Here is a 15,012-nt window from a genome sequence, read left to right on the forward strand (position 1 = left end):
ATTCCCTGCTTTTTTTCTTTTTAAATCTGCCCCCTTCTTGGTTTCTAATGACATTTGACATTTGACGTTCACCACTGCTGTGAGTTCTCCTCCGCCACTGTCAACACAGCCATGCCCAGCTACTAACGCAGAGACAGCAATGCTCCAGGCCAGAGCATATGTTGGAGACCTACATTCATTTCATAAATGTGAGCAACACAGTTTCCCATTCCTTTTGACTCATTTTTTCCTTCCTTTTCTCCACTTGCCAGTTGGGGTGGACTCCAGCGTGGCTGAGGGCAGACGCCGCCGCCCCTGAGAGCTGCTTCTGGTTCACGTGGCTTCTTAGAGAACCACAACTCCAGCCCTCCTCTCTGTAGGGGACACAAATTCACCGCTTGCCCTTTGTCCCCAGAAGATGTTTTCTAACAGCCCAAGGGCCGATCCGGAATCAGAGAAAAACACTCCGTGGGGGAGGCCAGAGGAATATTTAGTTTGTGTTTTATTAGCCCTTGCTGGGTCTCCAGATCTGAACCCCGGCGGGGCCTGTGTGCTCAGATCTTCCCACAGCGTACCCCTGAAGCCCAGCTCAGGCAGCCTGAGGATTAGAATAAATGAAAATCATTATCTGAGCTGTTTGGCACACGTGCGTGTGCAAGAGCCAGGGGCCATTTTCAAGGGAAAATGCCCGTTGCAGTTTCCTAAATCCTTTCTCATTTTTGACTTATTTGATCCTGGCAACAACTTGGTGAGATTGGTTTATCCGTGAGTCCATTTCACAGGCAGGAAAGTGGTGTCGCAGGGAGGCCGAGTGACTTGTCCACAGCCACGCAGCTGGGAAACGGGGAGACAGATTCAGGTGAGGACCTGCTGCCTCCGCGGTGCGGGGTACACCTTTCTCTCTCTTCCTCCTGCCTCCTTTCCTCTTCCTTCCTTCTTCTCCAAACTTCCACTCACCTATTTTTAAAACTCTTTTTGGAGATGGGGTCTGGCTATGTTGCCCAGGCTAGACCCAAGCCCCTGGGCTCAAGCAGTCCTCCCACCTCAGCTTCTTGAGTAGCTAGGATGACAGGTGCATGCTACCACACCTTGCTCAACTATTTTTAATTGAAAAATTAACATACACAAATGGTTAAACAACCACAACCAAACAGTACAGGAAAGGATGTCCTGAAAAGTAAGCTTCCTTCCACCCCAAATCTTCAGGGTCCCAGAGCCCCTTTTTCTAGCTATGTGTGTGCATATGTGCTCGTGCACACATATGTGTATGCACACTTAGGTGTGCATGTGTGATACATTACTCGGCCTCCTACACAGACAGTAGCAGCCCATGCGCTGGGTGCCTCTGGTTCTTCTTATTTCTCTCTCTGTCTCTTTTTTTTTTTTTTGTTTTTGAGACAGAGTCTTGTTCTGCCTTCCAGGCTGGAGTGCAGTGGCACAAGCTCGGCTCACTGCAAACCTCCACCTCCCGGGTTCAAGCAATTCTCGTGTCTCAGCCACCCAAGTAGCTGGGATTACAGGTGCCCATCACCACACCCAGCTAATTTTTGTATTTTTAGTAGAGACAGGGTTTTGTCACGTTGGCTGGGCTTGTCTCTAACTCCTGACCTCAGGTGATCTGCCCGCCTCAGCCTCCCAAAGTGCTGGAATTACAGGCGTGAGCTGCCACTTCCAGCCCTTCTTATTTCTCTTGAAAGCTGTTCTGTGTCCACATGGATGGAGCCACCACGCTTTTTGCTGACTGCACAAGAGCTCTCAGTGCATGGGGAGTAGGCTGTCCTTCTCCACTCCTCTCCACCAACAGGCATGAGGCTGCTCTCAGTCTCTGCTGTAATCAACGCATGGCGTGGGTCATGCCTTTGGCACATATATGCCTTTGTGCCCCTATGCCAGTGCCTCACTCAGGAAGAATCCTCGGAGGAGAACTGCTGCGCAAGAGGATTTGCCGTTGTCAGTGCCGGGGCTGTGGTTAAATTGCCTCCCCGTAGGCTGCACTTGCTCACACGCCTGCCCTCCCGGTGTCAGGGTCATGCCCCTCACTCCTAACGCCATGCAGCACGTAGCCATTCAGGGGCCCTTTGGGGGCCCCTCCCAGCGAGCTCACTCTAATCAGAGACAGCAAAGGTGTTGGATCTGCTTGATTTTCAAATGATTTACCCAGAAGCATCCACCCTCTCAGCCCCTAGTGTGGGGAATATGAGCCCTTCCCTGGAAACACTGCTAGAAAAAGAAAAAAAAAAAAAGGAAGAGAGAGAGAGGGCTCATTGAATAGGGCATCCCTAAAACGTGGACAGAGGAAGCAGAGAGAATGGAGTCCAAACACTCAGATCCTGTTGTCACCCCACCAGGGTCTACCCAGCAACGCCGAGACACTGAACAGGGCCCTCGTGAGTGCCTAGAAACGGTGGTGATCAACTCCCACCCCTGAGCCTCCCTCAGTCCCCAGATCAGCAGCAGGGATTTTTTTACAGCCCTCTACCCAGCCACCCTGGGTCCTGTGCAGCCAACCTGGGTCCACACATGTCCGGGACTCACAGATGAGATGGAACTGTCCCACGCATGGTCTCTGGGGCAGAAACTGCTGCGGAGCCTGCCGAGGCCACTCCTGCCGACTGGCCAGGGCACAGCATCTGACCCAGGAGGCTGTGACCTCGCTGCCCCAGGCCTGGCATGGCCTGTGGACAGTGGCCCGTCCCGCCGGCCACCAGGAACCTCCCCTCGGTGCCCACCCCATCCACCTCGCCAAGACTAATCTAGAAATTATTTATAGATCCGAACTCCACAGAAACCATTGTGTCTGCCGTTGCCATGGCAATGGGGATGTGGCAGGAGCGCCAGGCTCTCAGGCTTTCCAGGGCCCGTGGAGGCCGGCAAGGGCGGTCGATTTCTCCCAGGAGCCCCTGACTCACGCCCACCTTCAGAGGCCCCCGGGAGTGAAGAAGACAGCCTTCCCACCCGTTTCCAGCAGGGCTGGCTGCATCCAGGAAGACAGCGCTGCTGGTGAGTGGTTCGGCTTTGTTTCAGACCACTCAAAGAAATCATCTAGAACAACGTCCGCAAGACTGGCGGTGCAACTGTCCCCCTTGGAACCTCTCGGGAACACAGCCTCTGTCTCCTCACCGCAGAGCAGCTGCGTCAGACTCCCAGACGGCGGGGCCTAGGGATCTGTGTTTTGGTTTTGGGATCTGTGCAAATCCACATGACTCAATAATCCAAACATACAGAGAGCCTGGGAACCCTTACCCCGCTCTGGCGCCCTATGTGTCCGCTTTCATTGGCTTCTTGTATTTCCGGCTTGTTTTCTTTAGGGAGGCAGCAAATACAAGATACGGTCCACTTTTATCTTTCCCCGCTCAGAAAATAAAGATACCACAGCCCAGGCTTCCGCACCTTGCTTTTCTCACTAAATACTATTTTCCAAAGCTGTCACCAAATTCGCCGCTTCTTTATTTTTTTTTCTTTTACGGCGGCACAGCATGGGTTCCCTCCTGTGGGTCGGTGTGCCAAGGAATCTGCTTGCGTAACCAGACCTTTTCCCTAGGAGCAGTTGCCCAGACGCAGCCCCTAGGATGAGGATGTGTTTGCAGCGACTATTCAGGGAGTACTCCCTGGGGACACAGGTTGGGGGTGGGAAGCTGGACTGGAAAAGGAAGGAAGCTGGGCAGGGTGCTATGTGGGCACAGTCCTTCTGCAGCCTGAAGGAACTGGGGTGGGCGGGGCATGCCCGACCCCACAGGGGAACTGTGGAGGGTCAATCACACCCAGGGATGTCCCAGCCTGAGACCAGGGAGCTGAGGTCTTCATACACCCACCCAGAACCCACCTGTCTTTGGTTAAGCGTGGTCTAGGGAGGTATAAATTCCCAGGCATTTCCGTGCATGAGGGTGAAGCGGCTTCAGAGAGCCCACAGGCCACCCTCTAAACCAGAGGTCTCCAACCCCCGGGCCACGGCAGAAGGTGAGCAGCAGGTGAGTGAGCAAAGCTTCACCTGTATTTACAGCTGCTGCCCACGGCTCACGTTAACACCTGAGATCCGCCTCCTGTCAGATCAGCCGCAGCATTAGATTCTCATAGAAGCGTGGACCGTATCGTGAGCTGCATATGCAAGGGATCTAGGTTGCACACTCCTTATGAGATTCTAATACACGATGATCTGTCACACGGCAGTGACCAGCACGGACACGCATCCCTTCCCGTATGAAGCTTACACTCCAGACCAGAGTTGCCCAATAAAGCTTCCTGCACTGATGGAATGTTCTAGATCTGCATTGTCCGATATGGTGACCACTAGTCCCTTGTGGCTTTTGAGCCTTTGAAATATGGCTGGTACTGGTTCATGGCCTGTTAGGAACTCGGTTGCACAGCAGGAGATGAGTAGCAGGTGAGTGAGTGAAGCTTCCTCTGTATTTACAGCTGCTCCCCATCGCTGGTATTACGGCCTGAGCTCCCCCTCCTGTCAGATCAGCTGCAGCATTAGATTCTCCTAGGAACGCGAACCCTATTGTGAACTGTCATTCGAGGAATCCAGGTTGTGCACTCCTTATGAGAAACTCGTGTCAGATGATCTGTCACTGTCTCCCATCACCCCTAGATGGGATTGTCCAGTTGCAGGAAAGCAAGCTCAGGGCTCCCACTGATTCTACGTTATAGTGAGTTGTATAATTATTTCATTAGATATTACAATGTAATAATAATAGAAATAAAGTGAACGGTAAGTGTAATAAGTTGAATCGTCCTGAAACCATTCACCCTGCCTGGTCCATGGAAAAATTGTCTTCCATGAAACCAGTCCCTGGTGCCAAGAAGTTTGGGAACCACTGCTTTAAGCAGCTGCTGGTGCTGGCTGTTGGAGGTATAAACACTCCAAAGCTTTGGAGAGCACAAAAATGGTAAAAAGGGATCCAGGGATCCGGCAGGGGCCCTGAGGTTATTCAACACACATTTCCAATGGATTCTGTTAAAACTGGTTCAGATAGGGAGCTGCCCTGGCTTAGGGACAATCCATGAGCAAATTATCACCCATTTACTCAGCGCTTCCATGAACCAGGCCCTGGCTAGACCAAGAAGTCCCAGGTGCGTGGACCCCAGCGCGTTTCCTCCAGGGGTGTAGCACTGGGCAGGAGAGGGCCGAGGGCCCCTGCAGCTGGAGGCAGCTGGTGGCCCCTGCGTGCTCGCGGCCCTGCTGCTGCTTCGTCAGAAATGACACGACATACCTCACTGCACCTCCTGACCTTGAGGTGCGCTGAGAAGCACTGCAGAGAGCACTCTGCTCATCAACAAGTTTTATTTCTCTGTTTGTGCATTCAGCACAAAATATGTGTATTGGTGTAATAAACTTTGTAATGTGTTTCCAACGTTTGATCCACGAAGTTTCAGGTCTTTCCCATAAGCAGAGCCCTTGAAGGTGCTGGCACAGATTCCACGATCTGAGGCCTCCTGACGGCCTCTGGAGCCCCCTTCTGCCGCTTCCCACGTAGGGCTGCCGCGTGTGGTCCGAAAATCATCCTAAAAATGGAACCTTCCACTCAGGCAGGCACCGCATGGGTCTGTGTGAGCCGCATGTTTCTCAGCCAAGACGCGGCTGTGTAGGAAGTTCCTTATAAGGATTTCCTACTCTTTGTGGGCCACCCGTTCATGCGGTGACCAACCTCATTTGCGTTCCCAAGTCTGTGCCGAGCTTCCTGTGGGCAGGAAGGGGCCCTCACTGCCTTCTCCCTTGTGGGTCTTCGAGCCCATGAAGTGGGGGCTTGGCCAGGGCATGAGGTGTCTTTCTGCAAATTAGAGAAAGGGACGTGCTAGGGTTTGAATGTTTGTCCTCTCCGAAGCCCATGCTGAAATCGAATCCCTACAGTGGCAGCATTGAGAGGTGAGGCCTTGAGGAAGTGATTGAGTCGAGAGGGCTCTGCCATCATCAGTAGATGAATCCATTGGTGGACTCACAGATGAACGGGTTAACATTGGTGGGCTCACGGATGAACGGGTTAATGGGTTAATGGTTATCCCAGGAGTGGGTCAGTTATCACGGGAGTGGGACTGGTGGCTTCATAAGAAGAAGAAGAAAGACCTGAGTGAGCAGTCAGCCTCCACACTATGGGATGCCCTGTGCCACTTGGGGCCTCCATAACTGTAAGAAATTAATTCCCTTTCTTTATAAATTGCCCAGTTTCAGGTATTGTGTTATCAACAACAGAAAACAGACTAAGGAAGCACTCCCTATCCGAGTGGACTCAGCCTGGAAAGGCACAGTTTTCTGTGTGGAGGGATTTTTATAAGTGCCCCAGGATGGTCGGGACTCCATCCACGCTGAACACCCATGCATCATTAACCTGGGATATTAATGAGAGTATTGGTTTGGGTGCTCTAACAAAGACAATCAGAGTGGCAGAGACTGCCAGAGGTGGAAGGTGATTTCTGTCTTAGTCTCTCACACCAAGGTCGAGCTGGTGTGGCCCGGGCACCTTCTCATTTGTCATTCCACAATTCCCCTTGTGTGTGGTCCTTGTCCACGTGCTGCAGGGCAGGGTCCCAGGATGGTCCTTGTCCACATGCTGCAGGGCAGGGTCCCGGGAAGCAGACCTGCGATGGAGATTTGCATACAGGAAGGACCTGGGCATGCTCTCAGGGAGAGGCAGGACCAACAGAGGGAGGAGGTGGCTGAGATGCTCCTGCCGGGTCTCTGAGGCTGGCACGGGCCATCACAGTTGTCCCAAGTGGGAGTGAGGGGCTTGGCCTCTATAGCCCCCCAGTGTAGGTGTGCCTCTGTGCAAGCCAGCTCTCTTCTGCTAAGGGTAATTCCCAGAGAGAGCTGAGAGTGGGCCGCACTCCAGCCAGCAGGAAGGGGCAGGGGAGGGGGAGACTCCCCAGTCTGTGCAGGGAGAGGCTCAGAAGGTACACACATCACTTTTCATCCTCATCCTCATCATGTGGCCATATCTACCTTCGAGGGAGGCTGTGGGGTGCAGCCATAAGCCTGTTTAGAAGTCAGGGGTGGTCTCACCATGAGATCAATGGGAAGACCATAACACCTGGCACCTAGATGAGACAGGCACAGCCTTGGTGCTCGGCAAATCAGTGCATGAGCAAAGGAGAGATTAGGAGCAGAGTGTCTGCTGTTGGTAGGAAGAACGGGATGTTTTCTCTTGGCTTGGGAGCACACAGAGTGATCCTATGTGTATTAGTTTCCTATGCTGCATTGTGTTACAAATTTAACTACTTAAAACAACACACGGCCAGGTGGGGTGGCTCACACCTATAATCCTAGCACTTTGGGAGGCTGAGGCAGGAGGACGGCTTGAGCCAAGGAGTTTGAAATCACACAACATAGGAAGACCTCTCGTCTCTACAAGAAAAAAATAATTAGCTGGGTGTGGTGGTGCGTGCCTGTGGTCGTGGTCCCAGATATTTGGAAGTCTGAGGTGGGAGGATTGCTTGAGATCAGGAAGTCAAGACTGCAATGACATACGATTGCACCATTGCACTCCAGCCTGGCTGACAGGGCAAGACCCTGTCTCAAAAAACCAAACCAAAACACAAAACACACACATTTATGATCTTGTCATTTCTGTGGGTCAGGCATCCAGGCACAGCTTAGCTGGTCTGTGCTCAGGGTCTCCCAAAGCTGTATTTGAGGTGTTTGCTGAGCTGCGTTCTCATCTGCAGGCCCAACTGGGGCAGAGTCTGCTTTGCGTTCATCCAGGCTGTTGGCAGAATGTATTTCCTGTGGTTGTAGGGCTGAGGGCCTGTTTTCATGACTGACTGTCCCCTGGGAGCTACCTTTGTCCCCTGCTCTGTGGCCCCGTCCGAGGGCATTTCACGACGTGGGTATTTCCTTCCTCAAGGCTGGCAGGAGATCTCCTCACTCCGGCCTGCTGAGATGGAGTTAACGTAATGGAATGTGCTCACAGGAGCTGCCCCTCGCTTTGCCACTTTCTGTTGTTCAAAAGCACGTTCCAGGCCCTGCTCACTCTCAAGGTGAGGGGACCACACAGGGTGTGATTCCCTGAGGGTCACCCTGGAATGTGTCTGCCACACCCTGATACGGTAAGGACAGATTCCAAAGGCCTGTGTTCCCGGACCATTTCTGCTGCCACTGGGTGCCCTAGCCGGCCACTCACCTCTGTTGGGTCTTGATGTTCTCCTCCGTCCAGCAAAGCCATAGAGGTCAGTGGTCATTAATTTAACACTGAAATTGATGCATTTTTTTTTTCTTGTGTCCAGAGAACATGTTTAGCTCTGTTTTTTGTGTTAGTCGTAAGAATGCTCCCAATTGCAGCTGTGAAAGCTAAGGGTGGCTGAGAGCTCGCGTGGGCTGAATGTTTCACAGACACTTTTTGTGTAATCCTCAGAGAGGCTGAAGGACCTGCCCAAGCCACCCAAGTAGGAAACAGCATGGCGGGGAGCTCAGCGAGGGCAGGTAGGACTTCAGAGCCAGGCCCTTCCCGCTACGGCACCCTCTCTCCTACTGTCCTTGTTCCCTGATGGAATCTAGCTTTCCAGCAGGCAGGGGGATAGTGGGAAGAGGCTACCCCCTTTAACCTTGATGAAGTGCTAGGGAGGACTTTGGCAAGCCAGGCCCTCATGCCCCATGCCCCCACCCCTCCCCTTGCCCCATTTCGCTGCTTTCATCAGCACTCAGGGCAGGGAAGGGCTGGTCTGACCTCTCAGGCTGCCCCAGTGTGCCGACCACGTCTGTTCGTCTTTACGACGGCCAAATTGGGGAGCACAGTGTTCCGGCCTGGACACACACAGCCGTCATCCGCCACTGCATCAGCTGCCTCTGAGACCTCCTAGGACGCCCGCTGCCAGGCCTTTCTCACTTTCCTGGGGCGTTTCTCTCTGGGTTGGTAGGGATTGGAGATCTCCGAAGGAGAAAGGCGGTCTTGGTCCCTCGGTCAGAAAATGCCTGGCACGCTTGCTTCAGAACCACACCAGGGGATGATTTATAGATGTGTGGGTTACCAGGTGAGGGCAGGTGGGGACCACAGCAGGCTCAGCGACCCTCAGGAGGTGGCTGCAGAGCTGCCATCCCTGGGACTGAGGGAGGAAGGCTGTGGCCCTGGAACCTGGACGGGAAGGTGTGTGGGGTTCAGAGTTGCAGAGTGTGTGACCTTCGGGGAGGGACTGAAGGGCTCTGGGGAGGCAAGCACCAGCCTCCTGCTGCTGCCTTGTGCTGATCTCATGCCAGGGCGCCCCACAGCCAGCCAGAGGCCAGGGGGCAGCAGGGTCTACTTTTGCTGTCAGCACCTTGAGCAGAGAACAGAGTGGGCAGGGGCAGACGTGGATGTGAAGGGCCGTGGAAGACATGGGACGCAGGATCCCTGGTGGTTTTTGTTCCTTATGATGTGGCAGGCATGGGGCAGGGTGTTTGGAGTGAGCATGGTGGCATGTTCTGTGGCTGGAATGGGGCAGAACATTTGGAGTGGGCATGGTGGCATGTTTTGTGGCATTCATGGGGCAGGGCATTTGGAGTGGGTAGTGGCATGTTTTGTGGCACACATTGGTGGCAGGCTAAGAAACGTGGCTAAGATCACACTGTAGGCAAGCAATGGAGCTGGGCTCAGACCCAGGGCTTTCTGCCTCCAAGTGCCCCCTTCCTACTGTAGCAGACAGAGCAGGAATTCCAATCTGAAGCCACCCTGCCTTTCCTGTGGGCTGGGGCCGGTGTCTGCAGGCCATGCTCTTGTTGACCATGGTGTAGGCTGGAGCCGAGCTGGGAGGAAGTGCTGGGGAGGGTGGGGTTGGGCCACACTCCAGCATGGGGGTGGGGGGCGTGTGGATCAGAGGGAGGAAGGAAGAGAAAATAGGGGTGGAGAGAGGGGAGAAGGCACCAGGGAGAGGGCAGGGGGCTGGGAGTGCCAACTACCCCACAGTCCCAGACAGTCCTCTGCTGGAGAGTCAGCTATTAACAGCAAAGGGGGCTGTAATTGCAGAAAGCAAAACACATTGAGGTTTTTTGGGAAAAAAACTATAATATCTTTATGACTTTGGGGCAGGGAAGGATTTCTTTAACAAGATCTCCAAAGCACAAACTGTAGGAGAAAATACTGATGACTTTGATGTCAAAATTTTAAAACTTCTGTTTAAAATAATTGTCGTAAATAAAGTGAAAATGCAAGTCTCACAGATTAGAAGTTATCAGCAATGCAACTAATGGTCTAAGAGTAAGTGTCCACACTCTGTAAAGAACTTCTGAAAATCTACACATAAAAGACAAGCAAGAAAATAGAAAGATGGAGGCCGGGTGCAGCGGTTCACACCTGTAATCCCAGCACGTTGGGAGGGCAAGGTGGGCAGATCGCCTGAGCTCAGGAGTTCAAGACCAGCCTGAGCAACATGATGAAACCCCATCTCTACTAAAAATACAAAAATTATCTGGGTATGGTGGCACATGCCTGTAATCCCAGCCACTTAGGAGGCTGAGGCAGGAGAATTGCTTAAACCTGGGAGGCAGAGGTTGCAGTCAGCCAAGATCCGGCCACTGCACTCCAGTCTGGGTAGCAGAGTGAGACTCTGTCTTAAGAAAGAAAGGAAGAAAGAGAGAGAGAGAGAAAGAAAGAAAGAGAGAGAGAGAAAGAAAGAGAAAGAAAGAAAGAAAAAGAAAGAGAGAGGGAAAGAAAGAAAGAAAGAAAGAAAGAAAGAAAGAAAGAAAGAAAGAAAGAAAGAAAGAAAGAAAGACAGGCAAAGGGAGCCACAAGCAAGTCAGAGAAGAGAAAACATGTGTGGTTACTAAGTGTCTGAAGAACCAGTGCCTTTGCTGGCTGAGACATTGCAAGTCAAAGCCACATCACGATGCTTGTCCATGCCCAGCACTTTGGCAAAACTTTAAAAACCTGGCCACCCGGGTGATGGAGGGCGGGAAGGGAAGCGGGCATCGTGCACTTTGCTGAAAAGAGGGTGGCTGCATGCAACGGCCAGTGCAGTGGACAGTGTGTGTGCCCCACAGCCAGATGCCCTTCTTTTAAGCACAAGCCTCTACGGTTCACAGTAGTGTCGCCCAGGATAGCAGGCAACCTGGAAGCATCCATTGACAGAATGAATAAATAAATTATGGCAAATTCACACAAGGGGACACTGGAGCCATGACAAGAAATGAACTAAGGCTACGTGGATACAGGTCCAAAGCAGAATGTCAAGGCAGAAAGGCTGAACGGTGGATACTGCATAGCTCTGTGTACACAGGGCTGGAACCATGCCTGGGAAAGGAGCTACATGGGAGCTTGGGAGCTCCTTCCTGCTCCTCACTCCCCTTCTCAGGGAGAACTGCATGGGGAGAGCATGGTGCTTGTGGCAGTGTGTGTGCACGTATGTGTGAGCACGTGGCACGGTGCATGCATGGATGTGTGAGCACGTGGCACGGTGCATGCATGGATGTATGACTGTGGCAGTGTGTGTGCACATATGTGTGAACGTGTGGCAATGTGCATGCGTGGATGTGTGAACGTGTGGCAGTGTGCGTGCATGGATGTGTGTTTGTGGCGGTGTGTGTGCACGTATGTGTGAGCATGTGGCACTGTGCATTCACGGATGTGTGAGTGTGTGGCAGCGTGCATGCGTGGATGTGTGTGGCAGTGTGCATGCACGTATGTGTGAGCATGTGGCAGTGTGCATGCACGTATGTGTGAGTGTGTGGCAGCGTGCATGCGTGGATGTGTGTTTGTGGCAGTGTGCCTGCACGTATGTGTGAGCACGTGGCAGTGTGCACGCATGGATGTGTGATCGTGTGGCCGTGTACGTGTGCCAGCGTGTATGTGAAAGACGTGTTTGTGTGGGTGTGTGACAATGCTTGTGTGTGTCTGAGTGTGTGTGGTGTGTGATGATGAGTGTGAGTGTGAGCGTGCCGAGGACGAGGTTTCAAGGCTCCCCGGATGCATATGTCCTTCCTGGGCCACTGCCCAGATCCTGACTCCCTCTTCGGCCCCTGCCAGTCACAGGGCATGGGGCCACTTGTGCCACGGGGGACTGGGAGGAATGAGGCTCCTGGCCTTTTTTGCCCGAGGGAGTGGGTCATGCAGGGCCAGGCTGAGCACCTGGGGCTTTTTGGAGACGGCTCCCACCGGGTGTGCTGCCCTTGCCGTCCAGCAGGTGGCGCGCCCGGGCAGGTTCCAAAGGTCGTCAGGCGTCCCGCCCACCCCCTTTTGCAGGCGGGGAAACTGAGGCTGGACTTCTCCTTCCCCTGAATACCAGGGAATCCATTCCCCCAGTCCACGTGCTTATGGGGCCTGGCTGAGTTCTGGGGTTGGGAGCCATGGTGAGCAGAACAGACGGGGCCTCCCCGTCCGGAGCTTGCGTCCCAGTGAGGACACCGGGAGGCGACCCGTGGGGAGCGCCCGACCCTGAGACACTGCCGCTCACCCCACACCCAGCACAGTTTGCACGTGAGACCCCCAGCGTCTGCAGCCCTGGGCCGTCCTGGGGCCTACGCAGCCATTGCTGTGCACCGCGCACCTCTCCTGTTAGCCCGAAAACCCCTGCGAGAGTCCCGCCTCCTCCACCTCCGTGTGTTTCGGGGACAGGCAGCCCATCCTGGTGGACAGAGTGTGGGGGCACAGGGTCCGCACACCCGGTCCACGAGGCTCCACCACGCTCGAGCTGTGCGGCCATGGGCAGGCTGCGTGGCCTCTCAAGTGGGGTCAATGATGGTCACCACCACGGAGGGTCGTGGGGGTGCTGACCAGGTGTGAGAATGCCTTGCAAAGGCTCCAGTCTCCCCACACAGGTGCGCAGCCATACCGGCCCTGCTTTTGTTGGAGGGTGTAGAGAGGGGAATCCCTAAAGAGATATATCTAAGGCCGGGTTCCGTGTCTCACACCCATAATCCCAACACTTTGGGAAGCCGAGCTCAGTGGGTCATCTGAGCTCAGGAGTTTGAAACCAGCCTGGCCAACATGGCGAAACCCCGTCTTTACCAAACATACAAAAATTAGCCAGGCTTGATGGGGCACACCTGTAGTCCCAGTTACTAGGGAGGCTGAGGCGGGAGGATCACTTGAGCCTGGGAGGTGGAGGCTGCAGTGAGCCAAGATTTCGCCACTGCACTCCAGACTGGGTGACAGAGCAAGACCCTGTCTCGAAAGAAAAACAAAAATTGATATGTTCAAGTCAAAACCGCTGGTACTTGGGAATGTGACCTTATTTGGAAATAAGGTCATTGCTGATGTAATTAGTTAAGATGAGGCCATATTGGAGGAGGGGCGACCCTAAGTCCAATGCCAGGTGTCCCTATAAAAGGCAAAGAGGCACAGATAGAAGAGGCCATGTGAAGATGGAGGAGGAGACTGGAGCAGTGCAGCCACAAGCCCAGCAATGCCTGGAGCCACCACACACGGCTCTACCCTCTCCAATAAAACCAGGCAAGGTCTGGCCATGGTGCCTGCATGGGGGGACCCCAATGCCTCTGCAGGACGCCCTCACACCTAGTCAGTCTCTCCCAGGACCCCCTGTGGTGCCAATCACTGTCCCCACTTTGCAGTGCAGGAAGGGTCCTCCCCTAGAGACCTCAGAGGGAGCACACACCTTGATTCCAGGCTTCTGGCCTCAGGACTGTGAGAAAGAGAGTACATTTCTGCTGTAAGCCATGCAATGTGTGGTCATTTGTCTACACAGCCCCAGGGGCTCAGGTAGAGGGACACCACAGGAGAGTGGAGGAGGCAGGGCGCCCCCACAGGAGTCTGGCTACAGCAGGGCTGAGAAGTGGGCTGGCTCCCGGCTCCCTGTGGTTCTGAGACCCAGCTTGGCGGTAGCTGCACCTGGGCCAGGTGGGCAGCTCGGGCTGGGAGCAGACGGCTCCTACCCCGACTCGGCACAGTGCTATGCCCGGCTGTGCACATAGCCCTCCAGGCGGCACCTTCACGGCACTTGGCCGGGTGTCCTTCCCCCTCCCTGGCCTGTGGGTGCTTTGAGGACATGCCTGAGGAGGTGCTCCAGGCCGAGGCATGGTGAGAAAGAGTGGGCTCCGCATATGTGGGTCAGCACTGGAGTCCTGCCTCCACCACTCTCAAGCATAAGTGGCGGACTTTACCCCAGAGCCTCAGTCTTCTCATCTGTACAAGGGGCTAATAATACCTAGCTCACAGGGCTGTTGTACGGGTGAGACCGGACAATGCCTGTCAAGTATGTGGCATAGAGTAGGTGCACAAGGTGTGCGACATTACAAATACAAATGCTCCTGGAAAGGATGGATGAATGAATGCAGAGATGACCCGCCCTTTGGTTTCCATTGGGAAGTGACCCGGCCCTGGATTAGGGGGGCTGTCAGCAGGGTCCTCTGGAGTGGGGGGCGGGATCAGATCCCAGATGTGCATGTGGCTCCGGCTTGGCATTTCCTTAGAGGGACAAGATTTCCTCAGGGGCAGAGAGGAGAGAGTCCACCTAACACCCACGTGTTTGAGAGAAAGCAAAGCTTCCACTGGAGGAATGCTGGAGTCAGATAACAGACGATGCTCTGAGGCTCCAGAGGGAAAATGAGCACTTCGGAGGCGTTGGATCCAGCAGGAGGATTTCTGAATCAGGTGGAATGAAAGGTGCACGCTGGATCACGAGGTTTTCTGCAGCACGTGTCAGAGATTCCCTGCCAGTGACTCACTTTTTCAATGAGTCCTGAAATTCATTCATGCCGAGAGGAGCGATGGATGACAGACCCCTTGTAATCAGCAAGGGTTCTGTTCTCAGAACAGAGGGCTCGGGAGCCCCACGAGAGAGAGGACACCTTACAGAGGCCCCGAGCCCAGGCCTCTCCCTGCGCTGTTAGCCTGGCTGGAACATAGCAGCCAAGCACGTTTAGCTTCTGTTTGTAGGAGGAAAGGGAGTGGAAGCAGCAGTTCTGGGGGAAGCCTTAGGTTAGATCTTTGTTGCTTATTTATTTATTTTACTATTTATTTATTTATTTATTTATTTATTTATTTATTTATTTATTTGAGACAGAGTCTTGGTCTGTCACCCAGGCTGGAGTGCAGCAGCGTGATGTCAGCTCCCTGCAACCTTCGCCTCCCAGGTCCAAGAGATTCTCCTGCCTCAGCCTCTCAAGTACCTGGGACT

General features: G+C 53.7%; 1 long non-coding RNA gene across 1 annotated transcript, besides 6 other annotated features; it reads left to right on the plus strand.

The window, feature by feature from the left end:
• Positions 1-388: 388 nt before the first annotated feature.
• LOC124903748 (uncharacterized) lies at positions 389-3,360 on the plus strand. Its single transcript, XR_007065170.1, has 2 exons — positions 389-838; positions 2,750-3,360. It is a non-coding gene; the product is annotated as an uncharacterized LOC124903748 (long non-coding RNA).
• Positions 1,476-1,707: a silencer, noted in NCBI's record as "fragment chr16:87573595-87573826 (GRCh37/hg19 assembly coordinates)". NCBI's record gives its function as "represses an EF-1alpha promoter that drives an FKBP-Casp9 reporter gene in an ReSE screen in HepG2 liver carcinoma cells {active_cell/tissue: HepG2}" and the evidence as "EXISTENCE:reporter gene assay evidence [ECO:0000049][PMID:32094911]".
• Positions 3,315-3,815: an enhancer, noted in NCBI's record as "H3K4me1 hESC enhancer chr16:87575434-87575934 (GRCh37/hg19 assembly coordinates)". NCBI's record gives its function as "activates a minimal SCP1, AML or CMV promoter by ChIP-STARR-seq in naive H9 embryonic stem cells {active_cell/tissue: H9 hESC(naive)}" and the evidence as "EXISTENCE:reporter gene assay evidence [ECO:0000049][PMID:30033119]".
• Positions 3,816-4,316: an enhancer, noted in NCBI's record as "H3K4me1 hESC enhancer chr16:87575935-87576435 (GRCh37/hg19 assembly coordinates)". NCBI's record gives its function as "activates a minimal SCP1, AML or CMV promoter by ChIP-STARR-seq in primed H9 embryonic stem cells {active_cell/tissue: H9 hESC(primed)}" and the evidence as "EXISTENCE:reporter gene assay evidence [ECO:0000049][PMID:30033119]".
• Positions 11,237-12,141: an enhancer, noted in NCBI's record as "H3K27ac-H3K4me1 hESC enhancer chr16:87583356-87584260 (GRCh37/hg19 assembly coordinates)". NCBI's record gives its function as "activates a minimal SCP1, AML or CMV promoter by ChIP-STARR-seq in primed H9 embryonic stem cells {active_cell/tissue: H9 hESC(primed)}" and the evidence as "EXISTENCE:reporter gene assay evidence [ECO:0000049][PMID:30033119]".
• Positions 13,258-13,764: an enhancer, noted in NCBI's record as "H3K4me1 hESC enhancer chr16:87585377-87585883 (GRCh37/hg19 assembly coordinates)". NCBI's record gives its function as "activates a minimal SCP1, AML or CMV promoter by ChIP-STARR-seq in primed H9 embryonic stem cells {active_cell/tissue: H9 hESC(primed)}" and the evidence as "EXISTENCE:reporter gene assay evidence [ECO:0000049][PMID:30033119]".
• Positions 13,765-14,270: an enhancer, noted in NCBI's record as "H3K4me1 hESC enhancer chr16:87585884-87586389 (GRCh37/hg19 assembly coordinates)". NCBI's record gives its function as "activates a minimal SCP1, AML or CMV promoter by ChIP-STARR-seq in primed H9 embryonic stem cells {active_cell/tissue: H9 hESC(primed)}" and the evidence as "EXISTENCE:reporter gene assay evidence [ECO:0000049][PMID:30033119]".

Source organism: Homo sapiens, chromosome 16 (genome assembly GCF_000001405.40).
Source record: "Homo sapiens chromosome 16, GRCh38.p14 Primary Assembly".
In the NCBI taxonomy this organism is placed as follows: Eukaryota; Metazoa; Chordata; class Mammalia; order Primates; family Hominidae; genus Homo; species Homo sapiens.